Source organism: Homo sapiens, chromosome 8, assembly GCF_000001405.40.
Source record: "Homo sapiens chromosome 8, GRCh38.p14 Primary Assembly".
Lineage (NCBI taxonomy): Eukaryota > Metazoa > Chordata > Mammalia > Primates > Hominidae > Homo > Homo sapiens.
In genome coordinates this window covers 74,013,499-74,041,409 of record NC_000008.11, presented here as the reverse complement: position 1 = coordinate 74,041,409, position 27,911 = coordinate 74,013,499, and the positions used below count along the sequence as shown (strand labels likewise).

The 27,911-nt window shown below is 41.8% G+C and overlaps 1 protein-coding gene across 6 annotated transcripts in view; it reads right to left on the bottom strand.

Moving 5' to 3' along the window:
• Positions 1 to 27,911, bottom strand: part of LY96 (lymphocyte antigen 96) — a 108,466-nt gene that overhangs the window by 58,448 nt on the left and 22,107 nt on the right. For 2 of the 6 annotated variants that reach the window (NM_015364.5, NM_001195797.2), the window contains 2 exons: positions 14,569 to 14,621; positions 12,331 to 12,454 (listed from right to left, as the gene is read on the bottom strand). In NM_015364.5, the coding sequence (NP_056179.4) occupies positions 12,356 to 12,454; positions 14,569 to 14,621 (152 nt within the window). In that variant the 3' untranslated portion in view covers positions 12,331 to 12,355. Of the gene's footprint in view, positions 1 to 8,751; positions 9,092 to 12,330; positions 12,455 to 12,724; positions 14,444 to 14,568; positions 14,622 to 27,911 lie in introns of those variants that run through there. The other 4 variants (XM_017013299.2, XM_017013300.2, XM_011517508.3 and 1 more) reach the window with 3 other exon arrangements.

Here is a 27,911-nt window from a genome sequence, read left to right as displayed (position 1 = left end):
ATTGCGGTTATTCTGTTCTTTTTCAAGGTGCACTGATTTCATATTGTTCAAACACACATGTTTTACAATCAATTTGTACAGTTAACACAATAGTTGTCCTGAGGTGATGTACATTCTCAGCTTATGATGATAACAGGATTAAGAGATTAAAGACAGGCATAAGAAATTATAAAAGTATTAATTTGGGGAACTGAGAAATGTCCATATTAAAATGAAATCTTCACAATTTATGTTCAGAGATTGAAATAAAGACAGGCATAAGAAATTATAAAAGTATTATTTGGGAACTGATATATGTCCATATTAAAATGAAATCTTCACAATTTATGTTCCTCTGCCGCGGCTCCAGCTGATCCCTCCGTTTGGGGTCCCTGACTTCCCGCAACACTAATTTTAAGTAAATATTTAAATAATTTCAGATTCATAATAGTTTCAAATTTATAGAAAAGTTGCAAGAAGGTGGGTGGATCACGAGGTCAGGAGATCAAGACCATCCTGGCTAACTTGGTGAAACCCCATCTGTACTAAAAATACAAAAAATTAGCCCGGTGTGGTGGCACGTGCCTGTAGTCCTAGCTACGTGGGAGGCTGAGGCAGGAGAATTGCTTGAACCCGGGAGGTAGAGGTTGCAGTGAGCTGAGATCGTGCCACTGCACTCCAGCCCAGGCGACAGAGTGAGATTGCATCTCAAAAAAAAAAAAAAAAAAAAAACAGACACATAGAGTAATGGAAAAGAATAGAGAACCCAGAAATAAATTCATACATCTACATTGAACTGATTTTTGACAAGGCTACCAAAAGCATACATGGGGATAGAACAGTCTCTTTAATAAATGGTGCTGGGAAAACTGGATATCCATAAGCAGAAAAATGAAGCTAGACCTCTATCTCTCATTATGTATACAAATCAAATCAAAATAGATTAAAGACAAATCTAAGACCTCAAACTATGAAACTACTACAAGAAAACATTGAAGAAACTCTCTAGGACACTGGTCTAGGCAAAGATTTCTTGAGTAATACCCCACAAGCACAAGCAACCAAACCAAAAATGGACAAATAGGATTGTGGGTGAAAGATTACCTAGGTGCCAAGGCAAGAGCCTGAAGGCACAAACTGTTTCAGTATAATAAAGAAAATAGTTAGATTAAGAATAGTTATAATACAAATTAGATATAGAGATGATCATGGACATTATCAATCATTAGTATAATCATTATTAATCATTAGCTTTTAATATTACTCTTCGTTGCATTACTAATATAACCTAGGAATAACTGGCGGGTATAGGGTCGGGTACTGAAGGGACATTGTGAGAAGTGACCTAGAAGGCAAGAGCTGAGCCTTCTGTCACGCCCGCATAAGGGCCGCTTGAGGGCTCCTTGGTCAAGCGGTAATGCCAGTGCCTGGGAAGACACCCATTACTTAGCAGACTGCAAAAGGGAGTCTCCTTTCCTTGGAGGAGTCAGGGAACACTCTGCTCCACCAGCTTCTTGTGGGAGGCTGGATATTATCCAGGCCTGCCCGCAGTCATCCAGAGGCCTAAACCCCATCCTGTGGTGCTGTGCTTCAATAGTCATGCTCCTTGTCCACTTTCATGTTCCTCCCGTACTCCTGGTTCCTCTTTGAAGTTCACAGTAGATAGCGGTAGAAGAAATAGTGAAAGTCTTAAAAGTTTTTGATCTTTCTTATAAGTGCATAGAAGAAAACGCTGACGTATGCTGCCTTCTATCTCTGCTTCGGCTACCTAAAAGGGAAGGGCCCCCTGTCCTATGATCACATGACTTGCTTCACCTTATCAATCACTTAGAAGATCCACCCTCCTTACCCTGCCCCGCTTGTCTTGTATGCAATAAATATCAGCACGCCCAGCCATTCAGAGCCACTACCAGTCTCCACGTCTTGATGGTAGTGGTCCCCCGGGCCCAGCTGTTTTCTCTTTATCTCTTTGTTTTGTGTCTTTATTTATTACAATCTCTCATGTCCGCACACGGGGAGAACACCCATTAACCCCCCTAGGGCTGAACCCTACATAGGATCACATCAAGTTAAAAAGATCTGCACAGCAAAGGAAACAATCAACAAAATGAAGAGACAACCCACAGAATGAAAGAAAATATTTGCAAACTACCCATCTAACCAGAATATATAAGGAGCTCAAATAACTCTACAGGAAAAAAATCTAATAATTTAATTTTTAAATGAACAAAAGACTTTAATAAACATTTCTCAAAAGAAGACATACAGATGTTAAACAGGCCATATGAAAAGGTGTTCAACTTCATTGATCATCAGAGAAATGCAAATCAAAACTACAATGAGATATCTCACCCCAGTTAAATGGCTTTTATCTAAATGTCAGGCAATAACAAATGCTGGCAAGGATGTAGAGAAAAGGGAACCTTCATACACTGTTGGTGTGAATGTAAATTAGTTGGCATGAATGTAAATTAGTATAACCACTATGGAGAACAATTTTGAAGTTCCTCCAAAAACTAAAAATAGAGCTACTGTACAATCCAGCAATCCCACTGGATTACCCAGAAGAAAGGAAATCAGTATATCAGAAAGATATCTGCATGCCCATGTTTATTGCAGCACTATTCACAATAGCCAAGATTTGAAAGCGACAAAAATGTCCATCAACAGATGAATGGATAAAGAAAATATGGTACATTTACACAATAGAATACTATTTAGCCACAAAAAAGAATGAGAGTCTGGGTGCACTGGCTCATGCCTATAATCCCAGCACTTTGGGAAGCCGAGACGGTAGGCCTCCCTTGAGGCCAAGAGTTCAAGACCAGCCTGGTCAATATAGTAAGACCCCATCTCTGTGTAAAAATAAAATTAAATTAAAAATTAAAAAACAAGAGCAAGAATAAGATCCTATTATTTGCAACAACATGAATGGAACCGGAGGTCATTATGCTAATTGAAATAATCCAGGCACAGAAAGACAAACTTCACATGTATTCACTTATTTATAAGAGCTAAAATTAAAACAACTGAACTCATGGAGATAGAGAGTAGAAGGATGGTTACCAGAGGCTGGGAACGGGGGGTGGCACAGAGGAGTGGGGTTGGTTAATGGGTACAAAAAAAATAGTTTAAAAGATGAGTAATACCTAATATTTGGTAGCACAGCAGAGTGACTATAATCAAAATTAATGTAATTGTATATCTTAAAATGACAAAAAGAGTATAATTCAATTGTTTGTAACAAAAAGGATAAATGATTGAGGTGATGGATACCCCATTTACCCTGATGTGATTTTACACATTGCATATCTATATCAAAATACCTTATGTATTCTTGGAAGTCTATTTTGATTTAAAAAAATTTTCTCATGTAAACCATAAATATATATACCTACTATGTACCCATAAGAATTAAAAATTAAAAATTTTTTTTAAAACAAAACATTTTTGAGGACCCTAGGCACTGTGCTTACTCTACCTAACGGATAAGTTAACCCTGCAACTATTAGCAAGAGAAGGGCTGAAAGCAATGGGAAAACTCAGAAGGGAATGGTAGGAGGGCTAGAATCTGAAATTAGCCTAACTTATGAGATGAAGCAGACAATTTAGCTGTGAATCAACTAGAATGCTCTCAGGTGCAAGTAATAAAATTCTGACTCCAACTCACTAAAGCAATAACCAGAAAGTCCAGAAGTATGGCAAGACCCAGACTTGGGTGATTGAATGACTCCACAGTATCTGCAATTTGAGTTATTATTTTTTTAATTTTTAAAAATTATTTTAAATTTTATTTTTGAAACAGAGTCTCACTCTGTTGCCCCAGCTGGAGTGCAGTGGCACAATCTTAGCTTCACTGAAGCTTCAAACTTCTGGGCTCAAGCTATCATCTCACCTCAGCCTCCTGAGTAGCTGGGACTACAGGCAGGTGCTGCGATGCTTGGCTAATTTTTATTTTATTTTTTGTACAGACAGGGTCTCACAGTGTTGCTCAGGCTGGTCTTGAATTCTTGGGCTCAAGCAATTCTCCCACCTCAGCCTCCCAAAGTGCTGGGTTTACAGGCATGACCCACCACGCCAGGCTCTTATTTTTTTAGACTCACCATTCTTCTGTTCACAGTATCATCTTCATCCAGAGGCTAATTCCCTTTTATGGTCATCAGATGATTGTCCACAGAAATGTGGGCAACATTCCTCGTTTACATCTAGTGAGACAACCAAGGAATTTGAATCCATCCCTTCTGATTGAGCCAACCTAGTCATGTGACAAACCAGACCAATAACCATACCCTGGGAATACTTCACATGGCTGACCTAGCAAATCAAGATCCACCCTAGAGTAGAAATGTGTTGTACATCAGAACAAGACCAGGAAACAGGACATGTCTGATAACCCATTCCACAGTTCTGAACCCTGTCCTAACATCAAGCATATAAGAAGATCAAAGAATCTTTTAATCCAAGAGAAAATCTAAGAGAGAGGATTTGCAGAGGATATTTTGAGAGAAAGCTATGCTGTGAGTCCTGTTTCCAAACCCCTCCCCATAAGGAATGAAACAGGGTTGGGTAAAAACCTGCTCTACCTCAAAACTAAGTGAAGGGGTACTCCACAGAGCTACTCAGAGAGCTTAATGTGTAATCAATTGCCTGATGGGTTCTTCTTGCCTACTGCAATTCACTGAGACCATGGCACTGCAGTAAGGAAAGTTTAATATGAAGGAGAACTGGAGTTACCACTCAAATCAGTCTCCCCAAAGGCACAGATGCTAGATTTTTTATGGACAATTTGGTGGGCTGGGGGCTAAGGAATGGGTGCTGCTGATTGGTTGAAGATGAAAGTATAGATGTGTAAAAAATAATTCTCATGAGCTGAGTCTACCTCTGGGTGGGGACACAGGACCAGTTGAGTAATGAGTCATGAATCTGGGTGGGGTCAGTGTGAAAAATATCTCAAAAAACCCATCTTAGTTTCTATAATAGTGATATTACCTATAGGATCAATTGGGAAAGACACAAACCTTGTGATCTCTGGCCATGTAACTCCTTAGCAGTACAGGATTACAGAACTACACCTATCTTGTGACCTCTGACCCCACTACTCCTGAGTAGTAAGGGATTACAGAAACTACATCTATCTTTTAGCAGAATTCAGGCACCTCCCATAATTCTAATCTTGTGGACTTTCATTAATTTTACAAAGGTGGCTTCAGCCCCTGAACCAGGGAGGTGATTTGTTTTGGGGAAGGACTATTATCATCCTTACTTCAAAGTTAAACTATAACTTAAATTCCTCCCAAAGTTAACTTGGCTTACACCCAGGAATAAACAAGGACAGCTTGGAGGTGTGAACCCAAAAGTATCCCTGAGACGAGTCTCAATTTCGAAAGTTTATTTTGCCAAGGTTAAAGATGCACCCATGACACAGCCTCAGGAGATCCTGATGACATGTGCCCTAGGTAATCAGGATACAGCTTGCTTTTATACATTGTAGGGAGATATAATACATCTATCAATACATGTAAGATGTACACTGATTTGATCTAGAAGGGCAAAACAACCCAAAGAGGTTGAGGGGCTTCCAGGTCATAGGTAGATTTTAATTTTTTCTGATTGGCAATTGGTTGAAAGAATTATTATCAATAGAAGGGAATGTCTGGGTTATGACAACAGGTTGTGGAAACCAAAGTTTTTATCACACAGATGAAGCCTCCAGGTAGCAGGCTTCAAAGAGAATAGATTGTAAATGTTTTTTATCAGACTTAAGGTCTATGTTGCTGTTAAATGTTGGTTGGCATTTCCTGAATTCCAAAAGGGAAGAGGGCATACTGAGGCATGTCTGATCCCCCCTTCCTGTCATTGCCTGAACCAGTTTTTCAGGTTATCTTTGGAGTGCCCTGGCTGAGAGGAGGGAGTTCATTCAGATGGTTGGAGGGGGGCTTTAGAATTTTATTTTTGGTTTACATTCTCCCTCTTACGACCAAGATTTGCCAGAGGCAACATCGATGGCCACCAAATCTTTATTTTGCCCCATAACATTGCCAGGGCGGCGTGGCTGCCTGCCCTGGGTCCATCCTGTCCCTTGGTATGGCCAAGGGACTTAGTCAAAGGGACTCTAAGCCAAGGGACTTAGAGTCAAAAGACTTATAGCCAATTGAAGGGCCAGATGGGAATGGACGTGGACAGGCATTCATTATCCCTTAAAAAAAAAGTTTTTACATAAAAAGCCAATAAACAAAAAGCCAAAGGGAAGGTTACAAAACTGACTTATCTTTAACTTCTATGCCTTGAGTACAGTAATCTTGGGTTTAGTTACAGACTTTTAGCAATTAGCTATACAAAATATAAACATTGTTCTGAAACAAAAAGTTTTTAAATATATATCTTCGCAACTCATAACTGGGAGTTTTGTACCCAGGAGGCTTTGTCACAAGGTATCTTTATCCTGTCAGTAATTATCTTCCTTTAATTCTACGGGAATTAGAAAATGTGTCACATAACAGCTCAGTAGGCAAAGTCCCTTGTTTTACTGGCTGTTTAGGCATCTTTGTACCCATCCTTGATTTGGAGGATCTGACCTTGACTTAATTCTATCCCTCAAAACTGGCCCTTACAATCTCACATGCTCACCCCTTCTGTGACAGTCCCCGGGCCTAGAAGGAGGGTGTTTGTATAGTCTTAGCAGCGGGGCATTTTCAGTGAAAAACAAATTGGACCCAGTGTGATGCCAAATGAGGGAGATTCGCATCTCTACTCTTCAGAATACCATGATTCTGGTTTCCTTGGAGGTAAAACAAGGAAAAATAAATAACAATATTTTTGAAAATCAAAAGAGTATTTATGTGTCAGAACAGAAAAAGGAACCTATTCCATTAAGGCACCAACTAAAAATAAGAAGAAAAATGATAACCTGGCACTCTTTAGAGAATTATATAATTCATGATTCAATCTGCACTCAAAAACAAAAGTTGGGGCTGAAATCTAATAAAAAGTGTTACACTTCTTTGAAACAACCTCTTTCTCTGGTTCTCCTTTTCTATTAAAGAATTTTTTTTTTTTTAAGGCACAGAGTCTCGCTTTATTGCCCAGGCTGGAGTGCAGTGGCATGTTCTTGGCTCACTGCAACCTCCATCTCCCAGGCTCAAACAATTCTCATGCCTCAGCCTCCCGAGTAGCTGGGATTACAGGCATGCACCACCACACCTGGCTAATTTTTGTATTTTCTAGTAGAGATGAGGTTTCTCCATGTTGGCTAGGCTGATCAAACTTCTGGCCTCAAGTGATCCACCCACCTTGGCCTCCCAAAGTGCTGGGATTACAGGTGTGAGCCACTGCACCCAGCCTAAAGAGAAATTATAGTAAGACCAATGTATGTGCAAAATAAGTTTTAGGCTTACTATACTTGGCCTGATTATTCACATAAAGTGCAGCAAGAATTAATTGGCCACATAGGTTCCTTTTAAGTTGGCTTTGCTGGAAATTTGCCTAAAAATATGTTATTCTAGTCAAAGCCCTGGTTTAAAAAAAAAAAAAGTCTCCAATTGTCCTGTTTTGAAAGAAACGAATCTTACTACACTTATGCAAATAACTATATTGTCATAAAATCAGAATACCCATGAACAGTTTCTGAATTCTGGAGAGCTCAGAGAGAAAAGTAAACTTGCTCACAAAAACATTCTTCACTTAATTGCTCTAAACAATAAATAATTCAAAAGAAAAAGATTTGCTTGACTCCTCTTTAACCACAGCAGCAGCCTTCCAAACAAGATGTCCTTTGTTCACCTTCGAACTTCACAAGTGAAACAGCTCTGGTTAGATGGGAGCTGTCTATCAGGCACTGCAGAATCTAGCAGCTTCTATAAAGTTAGAATCAGTCCTAGGGGAAAAAGAGGCCCCCTGCTCATAAGTATTCTCCTCCTTGCATTCGTCAGGGAGCAAGACCCTATATCAAAAGGATATGGGCCCCCAGCAGGGGGTTGGGCCAAAGGACTCAGTCCCTTTTGTCAATCTTTATCTTAATTTGCCTCAGTATTGCCCCAGGCAACGTAGCATTCTCATTATAACCATTGTCTTTGGATTTTTCTTATATTTTCCAATCTAGGGGCAAATAGTGTTTTAAAGGCCTTTGTTTTAACTCCCTCAATTTTCATTTTATTTCTTTCTTTTCTTAATAACCATCCAAAAAATTATATCACTGTTCTGGGGTGAGCTCTTTTAATCCCTTTCTCCTTACCCATCTTTTTTTTTGTTAATTATGCCTGATATTTTATTAAGCATCTGTAAAACCCACAAGAGACAGCAAACTTGATAAGGCTGCTCAAATAGTCGTATGATTCTGCCGGAGTAATGTCACCCAGGGTGCCCATGTAAAAAGGGCCCCCTAAACCCCAAAATTTACCATGATGTGGGCAATAGAAATTTTTGTTGGAGAATATTTGGGTCATCATAAAGCCAGTCCCACATGGCTTGCATATGAAGCATATCAACTGCTTCATCTGGGGTGTTCCACTTGGCATTTTATAGGGAGAGTTGGGCAATCTCCTTCTCAGGATAAACACTAGGCTGGTTGTTCCCTCAGGAATCACCTCCTGTGTATTTGGATCACACACATTCACCAGCAATTGTTTAATAGTGAGCTGTGGGTCCTGCATCAACCCAATCAAGCTCTTTCATTCTGTAGCATTTAAAATTAAGGATTCTATCCTTAAAGTAGTTATTTTTACAATTTATTGTGTAGCAGAATGAGCTGCAGACAACAACCCCTCAGACACCAAGTTGTGGAAGGAAAGGGCTTTATTCAGCTGGAAGCACCGGGCAGACTCACGTCTCCAAAAACCGAGCTCTCCGACTGAGCAATTCCTGTCCCTTTTAAGGGCTTACAACTCTAAGGGGGTCCGCGTAAGAGGGTCGTGATCGATTGAGCAAGCAGGGGGTACGTAACAGGGGGCTGCAAGCACAGGTAATCAGAACAGAACAGGACAGGGATTTTCACAATGCTTTTCCATACAATGTCTGGAATCGGTCAGGGGTTGATCTTTACCAGGCCCAGGGCGCAGCACGCCGGGCTGTCTGCCTGTGGATTTCATTTCTGCCTTTTAGTTTTTACTTCTTCTTCCTTTGGAGGCAGAAATTGGGCATAAGACAATATGAGGGGTGGTCTCCTCCCTTAATTGTAGTAAAGGTTTCTCAGGGAGATGATGATACCAATCTACAAAATGGAACAATTCATTTACACAATCCCCTGTGGCTTTTCGGGTTTTATGTTTGGTTGGTTGGTTGTTTTTTTGTTTTGTTTTGTTTTTGTTTTTTGAGACAGGATCTTGCTCTGCCACCCACACTGGAGTGCAGTGGCACAATTTCGGCTCACTGCAACCTCTGCCTCCTGGGTGCAAGAGATTCTCACTCCTCAGCATCCAAAGTAGCTGGGATTACAGGTGTGCGCCACCACTACCAGATAATTTTTGTATTTTTAGTAGAGATGAGGGTTTCACCGTCTTGGCCAGGCTAGTCTGGAACTCCTGACCTCAGGTGACCCACCCACCTCGGCCTCCCAAAGTGGTGCGATTACAGGCAGAAGCCACCATGCCTGGCTACCCTCTGGTTTTAATGGTTGCTTCATTTTGCCCTTCCTCCACATTGACTGTCTTCTTGGTAACCACAGGTCTCAGAGGTAACTTTGTTGCCTGGGCTTAGTTTTTCTCTTTATCCATTTAGTTTTATCTGTATAATTTTTCCTTTACTCTAAAGCAACTCTTAAATAGTCACTTAACTAAAAAAAAATTACTTTTTTTTTTTTTTTGAGACAGAGTCTCACTCTGTCGCCCAGGCTGGAGTGCAGTAGTGGCACGATCTCGGCTCACCGCAACCTCCGCCTCCTGGGTTCAAGCAATTCTCTTGCCTCAGCCTCAGCCTCCTGAGTAGCTGGGACTACAGGTGCCCGCCACCACACCCGGCTAATTTTTGTATTTTCAGTAGAGACAGGGTTTCACCATACTGGCCAGGCTGGTCTCGAACTCCTAACCTTGTGATGCGCCCGCTTTGGATTCCCAAAGTGCTGGGATTACAGGCGTGAGCCACCACACCCAGCAAAATTACATTTTCTTTAGCAAAAAACACATCCTTGTGTCTTTTTGTTTTTTGTTATTTTGGAGCAGAGTTTTAATAGGCAGAAGAGAAAAGAAAGAGAAATAGTCTCCAAGTGGAAAAGACCAGCAGGCGGCATATACTCCGGATTTCATACAGAGAGGATGAGAGATATGGTGGTCATGGACAGGAAAGGAGGAAATTACAATAGGAAAGGTGGCAATCCTATTACTGACACCCTATCAGGTGGTCGGAAGCTGGGGTCAGTCCAGAAGCCTTTGGATAACACGGGGGTAGCCCCAGCCAGAAATCCTCAGTTGCTCCAAAACCTCTTCCAGCCCCATGCAACAGCTAAGTCCTCTCTGAAAGTAAGCTGGTTCAAACAGGGCCAATATGCCCAACAACCCATGGGTACTCGGGGATTCTCCATGTTCTCTCCAGAAAGCCTGTCCTCCAAGTCTTATAAGGCTGGCAGCCATGCTAATCATTTTTAAATGGCTGAAGGTGGCCCAGTAGTTGGTTTGATTTGGTTCTTAAATGGAGGCTGACAGCCTTGAAATGTAAGGACAGAGTTGGAGTCTGCTCCTCTGCTCACCGTTTCAATGAATGTTGTACTTTGGTATCCCAGATGAACCTCCAATATGAAGCTGCTACGTTGTCTGGAGTATAAACCCAGGGTTTGTCATCTTTCACCAGGAAAACTTAGGACACAAACACACACGAGGAGTTTAGGAGTGGAGGTTTAATAGGCAGAAGAGAAGAGAAAGAGAAACAGCTTTCTCTATATAGAGAGAGGGGTCTCCAAGCAGAAAAGACCCCATCCTTTTGTTTCTATAAACTTCACCAAAAACACTTCTGTCGCCAGGCTGGAGTGCAGTGGCACAATCTTGGCTCACTACAACCTTCACCTCCCGGGTTCAAGCGATTCTCCTGCCTCAGCCTTCCAAGTAGCTGGGATTACAGGCGCATGCCACCAGGCCCAGCTAATTTCTGTATTTTTAGAAGAGACAGGATTTCACCATGTTGGCCAGGCTGGTCTCAAACTCCTGACCTCAGGTGATCTGCCCGCCTCAGCCTCCCAAATTGATGGGATTACAGGTGTGAGCCACTGCACCCAGCCTTTTTAATGTAAATTCTTGGTAAACAACTCAGAAACTCCCTCTTCTTTCCCTTTAAAAACCCTCTTGTAACTGCTGCTAATTTATGGAGTATATATTCAGGGCAACTCAAGTTGCCATGCTCCCAGGATGCAGTCCTCAAGCTTGGCCCAAATAAACTCTCTACTTACACTAATTCTGTCTCAGCTTCTTCCTTTTAGGTCAACACTGCTGTATTAGTCCATTCTCACGCTACTATGAAGAAATACCCAAGACTGGGTAATTTCTAAAGGAAAGAGGTTTAGGTTGGGCGCAGTGGCTCATGCCTGTAATCCCAGCACTTTGGGAGTCCGATCACCTGAGGTCAGGAGTTCAAGACCAGCCTGACCAATATGGTGAAACCCCATCTCCACTAAAAATACAAAAATTAGCCAGGTGTGATGGCAGGTGCCTGTAATCCCAGCTACTTGGGAGGCTGACGCAGGAGAATCACTTGAACCTGGAAGGCAGAGGTTGCAGTGAGCCGAGATGGTGCCACTGCACTCCAGCCTGGGTGACAGAGTGAGACTCCATCTCAAAACAATAAATAAAATAAAGGAAAGAGGTTTAACTGACTCACGGCTCTGCAGGGCTGGGGAGGCCTCAGGAAACAATCATGGCAGAAGGGGAAGCAAACGCGTCCTTCTTCGTATGGTGGCAGGAAGGTGAAGTGCAGAGCAAAAGGGGTGGGTGGGGAAAGCTCCTTATAAAACCATCAGATCTCATGAGAACTCATTCACTATCATGAGAACAGCATGGAGGTAACCATCCCCATGATTCAATTACCTCCCACTGGGTCCCCCATGACATGTGGGGATTATGGGAACTACAATTCAAGATGAGATTTGAATGGGGACACAGCCAAACCATATCAATTACTTACCCTACCTTGCCCATTGCTTCCTGTGGAAAACATAACAAACACTCTTGCCCACATTCTTCCCCTCCCTCCACATTCTCACAGACACTGGTGCTTCCCCAGGTGGCTCTGCATGATGCACCATGCCTCCGTTTCCTAGAGATCTGTGAGGATAAGCTTCTTTCTTCATGACAGTCATTTCTGTGTCTTCCTATCCTACCATATCTGATTAAAACAAATCCTGGGTACCCTTAAAACAGGAACAATACCTTTAAATTTTTTTTTAAATACTCAATTTATTCTAATTTGAATTAGGTTGGTGTAGGATGACAAACTCCAAGCAAAAGAGCATTTCTTCTGGGCTCCCAGAAATAGCTTCAACAACACATTTGTATTTTCCCTAAAATGAAGTATAAGAAATACAAGTAATACAAAATGTTAGATGCTACTATTTCAGAGGCTTTGTAAGAACTTTCTCTTACTAGCAGAAAGCCATTTAAATTGGATTGATTTTATAGTTTTCCAATGAGACGAAATTTTCCATGTCTTTGAATTAAATGAGCATAAAGCCCATTTATTTCCCAATTATAAGATTATGTTATTTTTAAAAACTAACCTAAGAGGTTTTGAAATATTAGATATTAGTTTATAACAAAATAATGAAAGAATATGCATTATTAAATTTTATTTTAAAATGGTCACCATAAGTAAAATGCATAAAATCTCATTACTAGATATGTCACGCAAATATCTAGAATCACAATGGTATTATTCATTGAGGCAGCAATTATTTTTACAAAGGCATGGATGACCAGACTAAGTTCCCAAAAAAATCTTGAACAAAAAAAGTCTGTAATTTATGTGATTTTTATTCTCCTAAACAATGTTCACATTATATTTACATGAATAGTTATAGAGATTTACTGGCTTATACACAATGGTCATCCAGTGCTTTCATCTGAAGACTGTTCAACAGATTAGTAATGAGCACTTGCATTCAAATTACTTTTGCCCATGTATGTTAGAGGGAAAAAAAAATGAAGCGGAAAAAAATGCTATGTTTTGTGCAATTTTTCCATAGTCTACAGAAAGAAAAAATACCAAAAGACCTAATACTAAGGCTGGGTGTGGTGGCTCACACCTATAATCCCAGCAGTTTGGGAGGCCAAGGCCAGGTCTCACTAACAACTGTTTCAGTACTGAGTGGTTAAGTTAAATATTTAAAGCCAGCGCCCTTATGCAAAGGATGGGATGTAACAAAAGCCCATCAGGAGTTTTGCCCAGGCCCTTCCTTTAAGGCTTTCTTAAACCATAACAAAATAACTAAGAAATTCTTAATAGGACCCATTTAGGATCAATCGAGTTTTATTGTGGGTCCGAAGAAACTCCCCAGGCTTCCACAACCAAGTTTACTGGGGGTCTGAAGGAACTCCTCAAACCTCCATGATTTAGCAGGAGACAAGATAAAGGTAATCACCCCAGCACCCAGACCCATTTAGATTAAGTAAAGTTCCTGAGGCTCCAGATGAAGGTCTTCAGGACTCAGACCTTAATTATAGATTAAAAGAAGTTAATCACTTGTGTCTTCAGATGAATGCACACTTACACATAGACATATACCTTAGAATGTATATAAGCTCTGAAAACTTTGTAATTTTGAGTTGGTCTGGCGATAATTTCCAGACCTTCTCCCTGTAACCAGTTACAGAAATAAAAGCTCTCTTCCTCCCCAGTTCATCTGCATCTTGCTATTGGGCTGCGAGAAATGGCAGCCCGACCCTCAGTTTGGTCCAGGAACAAAGGTGGGTGGATCACATGAGGCCAGGAGTTTGAGACCAGCCTGGGCAACATGGTGAAACCCCATCTCTACTAAAAATAAAAAAATTAGCTGGGCATAGTGGCATGTGCCTGTAATCCCAGCTACTCGGGTGGTTGAGGCACAGAATCACCTGAACCTGGGAGGCGGAAGTTGCAGTGAGTCCAGAACACACTTCACTCCAGCCTGGGCAACAGAGCAAGACTCAGTTAAAAAAAAAAAAAAAAAGCTAATTCTAAATAAAAGTGAAAGAAAAAACCCTGAACATCTTAATCTCGAACTGCTATTCATGAAATTGTCAGCTGGGCACAACTGCCCATACTTGTAATCCCAGCACTTTGGGAGGCTAAGCGGAGTGGATCGCTTGAGCTCAGGAATTCAAGACCAACCTGGGCAACATGGTGAAACCGCGTCTCTTCCAAAAGTACAAAACATTAGCTGGCATTGTGGCATGGACATGTAGTCCCAGCTAGTCAGGAGGCTAAGGCAGGAGGATTGCTTGGGGTGGGGGTTGGCGGGTGGAGGTTGCAGTGAGCAGAGATCGTGCCACTGCACTCCAGCCTGGGTAACAGACTGAGATCCCATTTAAAAAAAAAAAAGAAAGAAAAAGGAAGAAGTTGTGAATTGCTTGTTTCAAATGCTTAACATGTCTATTACTGCTAAAGGTTAGACAGTACAAAATAAATCTTGAACAATACCTTAGAAAATTTTATTCCCTTGAAGGAGAATGATATTGTTGTATTCACAGTCTCTGCAAACAAAATATAAAATACAAAACGTTATTGGTCACGGTTAGGTGATATTTTTTTCTTGGTAGCATGGAGTATACCTTAACTACTGACAGACGCAGTCCCAAGCAAAACTGTAGAAAAATAATGAATCTTTTATACCCTGGCTGCTATTCTCCTGTGGCTTCCTTTCTCCGCCCCTAGAGCCTCTCTGTACACCTGCCCCTACCTTATCCCTTAGGGGACACAAACTATTAAGACCTGCTGGTCTCAATAATGAATAAACGATGAACAAGCTAGTGCTAATATGCTTCAGAACAAGTTACATATGTGCATTGCAAACTAGTTTTCAGAGATATTGATGCACATTAAGCTGGGTATAATAGAGAACAATCTTGCAAAGACAGATGAGATATTTTGGAGGCAGCCAGAATACTGAAGCTCCTCCCAATTACACCACTGAGAAGCTCAAGTTAGCTTCTGTTTAAGTGCATAGCCACGGGCCTGGCCCCACACAAGCTGTGGAGCACAGAGTCAAAAGTGCAGAAAAATGCACATCCTACTGTTCCAGTCAGAACAAAGTAGTGAATGTGGTGGGGTAAAGATAGAAATGTATGTTTTGAATCTCAAACAAAAGAAACAGTGGCCAAAAATATTTTTAATATAGTTAAATCAAAAACTATAATATTGTTCTCAGAAGTAAATAATTAATGTCTGCATGTATACTTCTAGTCTCACAAGTAAGCATTTATTTATTTACTTCTGGATGTATCCTCTTTCTGTTTTTGTTTGTTTCTTTGTTTTGAGATGGAGTCTCACTCTGTTGCCCAGGCCGGAGTACAATGGCGTGATCTCAGCTCACTGCAACCTCTGCCTCACGGGTTCAAGAGATTCTCCTGCCTCGGCTTCCTGAGTAGCTGAGATTACAGGCGCCTGCCACCACACCCGATTAATTTTTGTATTTTTAGTAAAGACAGGGTTTCATCATGCTGACCAGGCTGGTCTCGAACTCCCAACTTCAGGCGATCTGCCCGCCTTGGCCTTCCAAAGTGCTGGGATTACAGGCATGAGCCACTGCGCCCAGCTGTCTTTTCTTTTCTTTTTGCTCTTTCTTTAAAGCAGATAAAGGGTGTATCTTTTTTTTTTTTTTTTTTTTTGAGACGGAGTTTCGCTCTGTCGCCCAGGCTGGAGTGCAGTGGCACAATCTTGGCTCACTGCAAGCTCCGCCTCCTGGGTTCACGCCATTCTCCTGCCTCAGCCTCCCCAGTAGCTGGGATTACAGACACCCACCACTACGCCTGGCGAATTTTTGTATTTTTAGTAGAGACAGAGTTTCTCTATGTTGGCCAGGCTGGTATTGAACTCCTAACCTCAGGTGATCTGCCTGCCTCGGCCTTCCAAAGTGCTGGGATTACAGACATAAACCACCACACCTAGCCGGGTGTATCCTTACTAAAGGAGTTGATACCTGAGGTGTTTCTTGAGCTCAGTAAAGTGATCATGTCTTCATAATCTTATGATCTTTCATTCAAGGCCAATCCAATTCAAAATTTAACAGTTCAACAACTCACTTATTGAAAGCCTACTACCCACCAGGGCCTGGGAAGACAATGGTAGTACAACTCTGTCCCTTCTCTCAAAGAGCTAAAGTCTATTGGAGATATAGATATTTAAGAAACCATTCCAGCTGTGAGCGGTGGCTCATGCCTGTAATCACAACACTTTGGGAGGCCAAAGAGGGTAGATCCCTTGAGCCCAGAAGTTCAAGACCAGCCTGGGCAACATGGTGAAGCCTTATCTGTACAAAATATATAAAAGAAAGATGGGTGTGGTGCATGTGCCTATAATCCCAGTTACTCGAGAGGCTAGGGTGGGAGGATCACTTGATCCCAGTAGGTAGAGGCTACAGTGAGCTGTGTTCGTGCCACTTCACTCCAGCCTGGGTGACAGGGAGACCTTGTCTCAAAATAAATACATTAAATTAAAATAAAATTAAAATTTTTAAAAACCAAAAAAAGACCCCTAAAATGATAAGAAGAAACCATTCCAAATACAATATGCAATGAGAAAGATGCAGTAAGGATAAAGATAACATCTTTGTAAGAGTGATGGCTCTGGGGCCAGAACGGCTTGGGTTTGAATCCCAGCTCCTCTACTTGGTGTGTAACTTTAGGCCAGTCACTTAATTTTTCTATGCCTCAGTAAAATGCTGATGGGCGATAACACGTATCTCATAGGATTATTACAAGGGCTATACCAGTTAATACATGTTAAGTGCTAAGAACAATGCCTAGGACATAGCACTTATTAAATATTATTACCATTAAATGTTACTTATAACATTTAATATTATTCCTTCTCCCTTCTAGACCCTCCTTCCAATGGCATCTTGTGAATAATAACATATTCATACCTTGTGAATATTAATGCATTAATATATTAGTCATATATGTATATATTATATAATAATATAATAATAATAGGCTCTATCTCATTAACTTGCTTGTTTCTTTGAGAGTATTTATCACAAATTGAATCATATTTCATTTTTCTGCTTTTCTTTATTTTATTACTTCATTAGGATCTTGTTTTCTCCACTAGTCTATAATCTCCATGAGGACCGGGGTTTTGCTTTGGATATTTGGATATCTGGCACCTAGCACCTAATTCTCAGTACCCAGCTTCAGGATCAACTATTAGGTTGGTGTAAAAGTAATTGCAGTTTTTGCCATGAAAAGTAATGCAATACATCATTACATAATTAAATACATAATTTTCAAGGCCCAGCACAAAATGACAATATGAGGCTGCTTATTCAAAAGATGGGGGAAACCTGTTAAAGTTACTAGAACATAAAACTTTTTCCTTTCTTCTGTGTGTTTCTCTCTCTAGACTTGCCATAATGTTTTTATTGCAATTTAATATCATTTGTAATAAAGAGAACATTTTAAACTGTTAGTATGAATTTCACTATTCATCTTTTTATAATACAATGCCAGTTTTAAATGCAAATATTAAAGCATTTAACTTCAAGGTAGAATCACGGAGATTACATAATTTGTCTTTCCCTGCTCAACCCCAGAGGGTGCCTCGAGCTGGCCAGAGGAAACTAACACAAGCCAGAGGCAGGAAATTTGAACGGAGAAAGAGAAGGTCCCCAAGACATGGAACAGCCTGAGGGAATGACCCCTCAGCAAGCAGCATAGGTGAGTGCAGAAACACCCAGGGGCTCCTCCACGACTGGGGGCTCCTGTGCAAGCTTGGGCCTGAGAGTTGCCTGTCAGCGTCCTCCTTCCACAAACTGCCAGATGCCCCATGCTCCTGTGAGAGGCAGGAAGTCCAAGCAAGTACCTTTCTTTCCCACAGGCCTGCTATTCAACAGTGACTCTCAACGCACTGCAACCTCCATGCAATACCTCCACACACTACCTGTTTCGGGGTGGGGCAGGGGATGGTGTGCCCAACTAGTCAGCTGCTGAACAGGGCTGTGGTGCTGCCAGCCCAGGTAGGGCAGCCACTGTCATGCCCACCCAAGATACTGCAGGGCACCCACACCGGATCCTGACCCTCCCTGTAGCCAGGATTTCACCAGGAGCAGAGGGTAGCAGGTTGCACTGGACAGAAGAGGGGAGGGGATCCCATGGTGCCAGCAGGGAAGTGGGCAGCGGGAACCAAGAACCGGTCCAGGGAAGGTGGGTTCATACCTCATCATCTCATTAGATTTCACTTACACAAAACACACACTCAAAGATAAAATTATTAAGAATTTCAAGACTATGATCACAGGGCATTAAACCCCAAGCATGGGGCCCTTCCGTATATGGGGCCCTGGACTCTGGTCATAAAGCCAACTCTGTAAACTTTGTGTAAGGGGCAGGGGAGGAAGATGGATGAGACTTGAGGATATGAGAAAGAAATTAAGAACAACCACTAGACCAGGAACAGTGGCTCACGCCTGTAATCCCAGCACTTTGGGAGGCCGAGGTGGGCTGATCACGAGGTGAGGAGTTTGAGACCAGCCTGGCCAACATGGTGAAACTCCATCTCTATTAAACATACAAAAAAAGTTGTTGGGCGTGGTGGCATGCACCTATAATCCCAGCTACTGGGGAGGCTGGGGCAGGAGAATCTTTTGAACCTGGGAGGCAGAGGTTGCAGTGAGCTGAGACTGCGCCATTGCACTCCAGCCTGGGCGACAGGGCGAGACCCTGTCACAAAAAAAAAAAAAAAGAAAAAAAGAAAAAACCCTAGATTTCTATTAAGGGAGACTGTCCTAACACTTAGCAGTTCAGGTAGGTGGAAGGAGTTCTAACCTCTTCTGTTGGATAGAACCCTTTTTTTTTTGTTTTTCAATTGTTTTGTCTGTCTTAGAAAGCTATCTTTTTTTTTGGTTTTTCTTTTTTTGAGACTGGAGTCTCACTGTGTAGCCCAGGCTGGAGTGCAGTGGTGGGATCTTGGCTCACCGCAACCTCTGCCTTCATTCAAGTGATTCTCCTGCCTCAGGCTCCCGGGTGGTAGCGGGGATTACAAACATGTGCTACCACACCCATCTACTTTTGTATTTTTAGTACAGACTGGGTTTCACCATGTAGGCCAGGCTGGTCTGGAACTCCTAACCTCAAGTGATCTGCCCGCCTCGGCCTCCCAAAGTGCTGGGATTACAGGCTTGAGCCACTGTGCCTGCCAAGAAAGCTCATATCTTGCTCATACCTTCCATTCTTTTCTTTTCTTTTTTTTTTAAATTATACTTTAAGTTCTAGGGTACATGTGCACAATGTGCAGATTTCTTACATATGTATACATGTGCCATGTTGGTTTGCTGCACCAATTAATTAGTCATTTACATTAGGTATTTCTCCTAATGCTATCCCTCCCCCAGCCCCCCACCCCATGACAGGCCCTGGTGTGTGATGTTCCCTGCCCTGTGTCCAAGTGTTCTCATTGTTCAATTCCCACCTATGAGTGAGAATATGCAGTGTTTGGTTTTCTGTCCTTACAATAGTTTGCTCAGAATGATGGTTTCCAGCTTCATCCATGTCCCTACAAAGGACATGAACTCATCGTTTTTTATGGCTGCATAGTATTCCATGGTGTATATGTGCCACATTTTCTTAATCCCGTCTATCATTGATGGACATTTGGGTTGGTTCCAAGTCTTTGCTGTTGTGAATAGTGCTGCAATAAACATACGTGTGCATGTGTCTTCATAGTAGCATGATTTATAACCCTTTGGGTATATACCCAGTAGTGGGATGGCTGGGTCAAATGGTATTTCTAGTTCTAGATCCTTGAGGAATTGCCACACTGTCTTCCACAATGGTTGAACTAGTTTACACTCCCACCAACAGTGTAAAAGCATTCCTATTTCTCCACATCCTCTGCAGCACCTATTGTTTCTTGACTTTTTAACAATCGCCTTTCTAACCAGTGTGAGATGGTATCTCATTGTGGTTTTGATTTGCATTTCTCTGATGACCAGTGATGATGAGCATTTTTTCATGTGTCTCTTGGCTGCATAAATGTCTTCTTTTGAAAAGTGTCTGTTCATATCCTTTGCCCACTTTTTGATGGGGTTGTTTGATTTTTTCTTGTAAATTTGTTTAAGTTCTTTGTAGATTCTGGATATCAGCCCTTTGTCAGACGGGTAGATTGTAAAAATTTTCTCCCATTCTGTAGGTCGCCTGTTCAATCTGATGACAGTTTCTTTTGTTGTGCAGAAGCTCTTTAGTTTAATTAGATCCCATTTGTCTATCTTGGCTTTTGTTGCCATTGCTTTTGGTGTTTTAGTCATAAAGTCCTTGCCCATGCCTATGTCCTGAATCATATTGCCTAGGTTTTCTTATAGGGCTTTTATGGTTTTAGGTCTAACATTTAAGTCTTTAATCCATCTTGAATTAATTTTTGTATAAGATTTAAGGAAAGGATCCAGTTTCAGCTTTCTACATATGGCTAGCCAGTTTTCCCAGCACCATTTATTAAATAGGGAATCCTTTCCCCATTGCTTGTTTTTGTCAGGTTTGTCAAAGATCAAATGATTGTAGATGTGTGGTGTTATTTCTGAGGCCTCTGTTCTATTCCATTGGTCTATATCTCTGTTTTGGTACCAGTACCATGCTGTTTTGGTTACTGTAGCCTTGTAGTATAGTTTGAAGTCAGGTAGCATGATGCCTCCAGCTTTGCTCTTTTTGCTTAGGATTGTCTTGGCAATGCAGGCTCTTTTTTGGTTCCAGATGAACTTTAAAGTAGTTTTCTCCAATTCTGTGAAGAAAGTCATTGGTAGCTTGATGGGGATGGCATTGAATCTATAAATTACCTTGGGCAGTATGGCCATTTTCACAATATTGATTCCTCCCATCCATGAGCATGGAATGTTCTTCCATTTGTTTGTGTCCTCTTTTATTTCGTTGGGCAGTGGTTTGTAATTCTCCTTGAAGAGGTCCTTTACAACCCTTGTAAGTTGGATTCCTAGATATTTTATTCTCTTTGTAGCAATTGTGAATGGGAGTTCACTCATGATTTGGCTCTCTGTTTGTCTGTTATTGGTGTATAGGAATGCTTGTGATTTTTGCACATTATTTTATATCCTGAGACTTTGCTGAAGCTGCTTATCAGCTTAAGGAGATTTGGGGCTGAGATGATGGGGTTTTCCAAATATACAATCATGTCATCTGAAAACAGGGACAATTTGACATCCTCTTTTCCTAATTGAATACCCTTTATTTCTTTCCCTTGCCTTATTGTCCTGGCCAGAACTTCCAACACTATGTTGAGTAGGAGTGGTGAGAGAGGCATCCCTGTCTTGTGCCAGTTTTCAAAGGGAATGCTTTCAGTTTTTGCCCATTCAGTATGATATTGGCTGTGGGTTTGTCATAAATAGCTCTTATTATTTTGAGATACGTTCCATCAATAGCTAGTTTATTGAGAGTTTTTAGCATGAAAGGCTGTTGAATTTTGTCGAAGGCCTTTTCTGCATCTAGTGACATAATCGTGTGATTTTTGTCTTTGGTTTTGTTTATGTGATGAATTACGTATATTGATTTGTGTATGCTGAACCAGCCTTGCATCCCAAGGATGAAGCCAACTTGATCTTGGCGCATAAGCTTTTTGATGTGTTGCTGGATTTGGTTTGCCAGTATTTTATTGAGGATTTTCTCATCGATGTTCATTAGGAATATTGGTCTAAAATTCTCTTTTTTTGTTGTGTCTCTGCCAGGCTTTGGTATCAGGATGATGCTGGCCTCATAAAATGAGTTAGGGAGGATTCCCTCCTTTTCTATTGATTGGAATAGTTTCAGAAGAAATGGTACCATCTCCTTTTTGTACCTCTGGTAGAATTTGGCTGTGAATCTGTCTGGTCCTGGACTTTTTTTGGTTGGTAGGCTATTAATTATTGCCTCAATTTCAGAACTTGTTATTGATCTATTCAGGGATTCGACTTCTTCCTGGTTTAGTCTTGGGAGGGTGTATGTGTCCAGGAATTTATCCATTTCTTCTAAATTTTCTAGTTTATTTGCATAGAGGTGTTTATAGTATTCTCTGATAGTAGTTTGTATTTCTGTGGGAACGGTGGTGATATCCCCTTTATCATTTTTTATTGCGTCTATTTGATTCTTCTCTCTTTTCTTCATTAGTCTTGCTAGCAATCTATCTATTTTGTTGATCTTTTCAAAAAATCAGCTCCTGGATTCATTGATTTTTTGAAGGGTTTTTTTGTCTCTATCTCGTTCAGTTCTGCTCTGATCTTAGTTATTTCTTTCCTTCTGCTAGCTTTTCAATGTGTTTGCTCTTGCTTCTCTAGTTCTTTTAATTGTGATGTTAGGGTGTCGATTTTAGATCTTTTCTGCTTTCTCTTGTGGGCATTTAGTGCTATAAATTTCCCTCTACACACTGATTTAAATGTGTCCCAGAGATTCTGGTACGTTATGTCTTTGTTCTCATTGGTTTCAAAGAATATCTTTATTTCTGCCTTCATTTCGTTATGTACCCAGTAGTCACTTAGGAGCAGGTTGTTCAGTTTCCATGTAGTTGTGTAGTTTTTAGTGAGTTTCTTAATCCTGAGTTCTAATTTGATTGCATTGTGGTCTGAAAGACAGTTTGTTGTGATTTCTGTTCTTTTACATTTGCTGAGGAGTGCTTTACTTCCAACTATGTGGTCAATTTTGGAATAAGTGCAATGTGGTGCTGAGAAGAATGTATATTCTGTTGATTTGGGGTGGAGAGTTCTGTAGATGTCTATTAGGTCTGCTTGGTGCAGAACTGTGTTCAAGTCCTGGATATCCTTGTTAACCTTCTGTCTCATTGATCTGTCTAATATTGACAGTGGGGTGTTAAAGTATCCCATTATTATTGTGTGGGAGTCTAAGTCTCTTTGTAGGTCTCTAAGGACTTGCTTTATGAATCTGGGTGCTCCTGTATTGGGTGCATATATATTTAGGATAGTTAGCTCTTCTTGTTGAATTGATCCCTTTACCTTTATGTAATTGTCTTCTTTGTTTCTTTTGATCTTTGTTGGTTTAAAGTCTGTTTTATCAGAGACTAGGATTGCAACCCCTGTTTATTTATTTATTTTTTTTATTTTTTTTTGCTTTCCATTTGCTTGGTAGATCTTCCTCCATCCCTTTATTTTGAGCCTATGTGTGTCTCTGCATGTGAGATGGGTCTCCTGAATATAGCACACTGATACGTCTTGACTCTTTATCCAATTTGCCAGTCTGTGTCTTTTAATTGGGGCATTTAGCCCATTTATATTTAAGGTTAATATTGTTATGTGTGAATTTGATCCTGTCATTATGATGTTAGCTTGTTATTTTGCTCGTTAATTTATGCAGTTTCTTCCTAGCATCAATAGTCGCTACAATTTGGCATATTTTTGCAGTGGCTGGTACCAGTTGTTCCTTTCCATGTTTAGTGCTTCCTTCAGGAGCTCTTGTAAGGCAGGCCTGGTGGTGGCAAAATCTCTCAGCATTTGCTTGTCTGTAAAGGATTTTATTTCTCCTTCACTTGTGAAGCTTAGTTTGGCTGGGTATGAAATTCTGGGTTGAAAATTCTTGTCTTTAAGAATGTTGAATATTGGCCACCACTCTCTTCTGGCTTGTAGAGTTTCTGCCAAGAGATCCACTGTTAGTCTGATGGGCTTCCCTTTGTGGATAACCTGACCTTTCTCTCTGGCTGCCCTTAACATTTTTTCCTTCATCTCAACCTTGGTGAATCTGACAATTATCTGTCTTGGGGTTGCTCTTCTCGAGGAGTACCTTGTGGTGTTCTCTGTATTTCCTGAATTTGAATGTTGGCCTGCCTTGCTAGATTGGGGAAGTTCTCCTGGATAATATCCTGAAGAGTGTTTTCCAGCTTGGTTCCATTCTCACCATCACTTTCAGGTAACCAATCAAATGTAGATTTGGTCTTTTCACATAGTATCATGTTTCTTGGAGGCTTTGTTCATTTCTTACTACTCTTTTTTCTCTAAACTTCTCTTCTTGCTTCATTTCACTAATTTGATCTTCAATCACTGATACCCTTTCTTCCACTTGATCGAATTGGCTACTGAAGCTTCTGCATGTGTCATGTAGTTCTCGTGCCACGCTTTTCATCTCCATCAGGTCATTTAAGGTCTTCTCTACACTGTTTATTCTAGTTAGCCATTCATCCAATCCTTTTTCAAGGTTTTTAGCTTCCTTGCGATGGGTTCGAACATCCTCCTTTAGCTCAGCGAAGTTTGTTATTACTGACCTTCTAAAGCCTTCTTCTGTCAACTCATCAAAGTCATTCTCCATCCAGCTTTGTTCCGTTGCTGGCGAGGAGCTGCGATCCTTTGGAGAAGAGACACTCTGGTTTTTAGAATTTTCAGCTTTTCTGCTCTGGTTGCTCCCCATCTTTGTGGTTTTACCTACCTTTGGTCTTTGATGATGGTGACCTACAGATGGGGTTTTGGTGTGGATGTCCTTTTTGTTGATGTTGGTGCTCTTCCTTTCTGTTTGTTAGCTTTCCTTCTAAGAGTCAGGACCCTCAGATGCAGGTCTGTTGGAGTTTGCTGGAGGTCCACTCCAGACCCTGTTTGCCTGGGTATCACCAGCGGAGGCTGCAGACCAGTAAATATTGCAGAACAGTAAATATTGCAGATCAGCAAATATTGCTGCCTGATCCTTCCTCTGGAAGCTTCATCTCAGAGGGGCACCAGCTGTATGAGGTGTCAGTAAGCCCCTACTAGGAGGTGTCTCCGAGTTAGGCTACACAGGGGTCAGGGACCCACTTGAGGAGACAGTCTGTCCGATCTCAGAGCTCAAACACCATGCTGGGAGAACCACTGCTCTCTTCAGAGCTGTCAGACAGGGACCTTTAAGTCTGCAGAAGTTTCTGCTGCCTTTTGTTCAGCTATACCCTGCCCCCAGAGGTGGAGTCTACAGAGGCAGGCAGGCCTCGTTGAGCTGTGGTGGGCTCCACCCAGTTCGAGCTTTCAGGCCTCTTTGTTTACCTACTCAAGCCTCAGCAATGGCGGACGCCCCTCCCGAGCCAGGCTGCTGCCTTGCAGTTCAATCTTGGACTGCTGTGCTAGCAGTGAGCAAGGCTCTGTGGGCATGGGACCCACTGAGCCATGCACAGGATATAATCTCCTGGTGTGCTGTTTGCTAAGACCATTGGAAAAGTGCAGTATTAAGGTGGGAGTGTCCCAATTTTCCTGGTACAGTCTGTCACAGCTTCCTTTGGCTAGGAAAGGGAAATCCCCTGACCCCTTGCACTTCCTGGGTGAGGCAATGCCCCACCCTGCTTTGGCTTGCCCTCTGTGGGCTGCACCCACTGTCCAACTAGTCCCAGTGAGATGAACCAGGTACCTCAGTTGGAAATGCAGAAAACACCTGTCTTCTGTGTCGATCACGCTGGGAGCTGCAGACTGGAGCTGCTCCTATTTGGCCATCTTGGAACGGACCCTTCCATTCTTTTCTTAGGAAGTTAGCTTGAAGCTTTGCCCACATTGAAGAAGGCAAGAGGGAACTGAGGCAGGGCGAGGGAGAACAGAACCCCTTCTTAGGCTCTCCTCTCCTCTTCTCAAAAGGTATCCATGCAGCTCACTCATGGTCCAGTCTAGTTTTCCTGGCAGCTATGCAGGGGGCGGGATCTGAGCCTCAGATGGTATTGTACATTGAATTGTGTCCCCCAAAAAGATATGTTGAAGCCCTAACCTCCAGTGCCTGTGAACATGACCTTATTTAGAAACAGGATCTTTGCAGATAATCAAGTTAAAATGAGGTCATTAGGGTGGGCCCTAGTCCAATATGCAAGTGTCCTTATTAAGAAGGGGAAATTTGGACACTGAGATAGACAAACATAGGAGGGAAGACCACAGTGAAAGGACCCAGGAAGAAGATGACCATCTACAAGGCAAGACATGCCTTAGGCCACCAGAAGCTAGGAGAGAGGCCTGGAACAGATCCATGCCTAGCTCCTACAGAGGGAGCATGGCCTCGTTATCTTGGTTTCAGACTTCTGGACTCCAGAGCTGTTACATGATAAATTTCTGTTTTTCTAAGGTATTCAGTTTATGGTACTTAGTAACAGCAGCCCCAGCAAAATCCCGGTAACAGAACTTACAGGCTTATGAATTTTTTTTTAAACAGGATCTTGCTCTGTTGCCCAGGCTGGAGTGCAGTGGTGCAATCACGGCTCACTGCAGCCTCCACTGCCCAAGCTCCAGTGATCCTCCCGCCTCAGCCTCTCAAGTATCTGGGACCACAGGCATGCACAACCAGACCCAGCTAATTTTTGTATTTTTGGTAGAGACGGCATTTTACCATGTTGCCCAGGCTGTTCTCAAACTCCTGATGTCAAGCAGCCCACCTCCCTTGGCCTCACAAAGTGCTGGGATTGCAGGCATGAGCTACCGTGCCCAGCCCAGGCTTATTAAATTTAAGATGCTTTGAAATATCCATCCATTGATTCATAAATGTGTTTTTGAGAGAAACAGATATATGTGTGTGTGTGTGTGTGTGTGTGTGTGTGTGTGTAAACTGGTGAGATTATGGGTAACTTTTACTTTATAATTGCTTGTCCATATTTTCTAAATATCATATCATAAAGATGTATAACTTTTATAACAACCAAAAGGAAAATTATTTTAAACATAGATATGTATGGTACTTGCAAATTCGACTCCCAAATTTCAAGGGTCTCTTGATACGTCAATGCTTCTTAAATCAGAAAGTCCTAAGTTCTGGGCCCACATACTCAGCTGCCAGATGGCCATGTTTATTTGAATATTCCAAAATTACCTTGAGCTTAACATGCCCAAGCCAGAACTCATTATGTTTCCCTTTAAAAAAAAAAAAAAAAAAACCTGCCTGTTCTTTTGTACACATCATCTCAGATAATGGCACTTCCATACATCCAGTCACTGGCCCTCAAGTGTGGTGCTTTTTTTTTTTTCTTTTTTTTTTTTTAAGTCAGGGAGTGCAGCGGTGGATCACAGCTAGCCAAGACCTCCTGGGTGCAAGTGATCCTCCCACCTCAGTCCCAAGTAGCTGGACTAAAGGCTGGTACCACCACACCCAGCTAATTTTTTTTTTTTTTCAGAGATGGTGTTTCACCTCCTTGCCCAGGCTGGCCCCAAACTCCTAGCCTCAGCCTCCCAAAGTGCTAGGATTACAGGCACCCAGCCCAAGAGGGTCTTGATTTTACCTAATCCTTGCCTGCCACATTAAATCAGTGTATCCTGCCTATTCTGTCTCCCAAAAATCTCTCTTTCATCTCCTCCCTGCTACTCCCTGGCCGCCGTCTCGTTCAGCCCTCATGGTCTCTCACAGAGCCTCCTGGATGCTCTTCCTTCCACCCAAGTTTCCTGCCTCAGCCTACCCCCACCTCCTGCCATATGGATGCTAGTTATCTGTAAAAATGGAAATCTCAGTGGGTCATCCCTGCCCACTGACTATAGGATACCGGCCAATATTTTGCGCATGAGTTACATGCTCACACTGCCCCCTTTTCTAGGCTCATCTCCAGCAATTCCCCACAAGCACATTCTGCTCCAACTACAAAAAAACTACTCTCCAAATAAACCATACTCTTTCATGACTAGATGTGTTTGTACATGCTGTTTCCTCTCCAGGGAATGTTTTTCCCCCTCACCCTCTGATGTTCTCAGATTCAAGACCCTAATAAAATACTCTATTGAAGGCTTGTCTGACCAGCCTGGGCAACATAGTGAGACCCTGTCTCTACAAAAAATTTAAAAATGTCCAGGAGCAATGGCTCACACCTGTAATCCCAGCACTCTGGGAAGCTGAGGCAGGAGGATCACTTGAGCCCAGGAGTTCAACACCAGC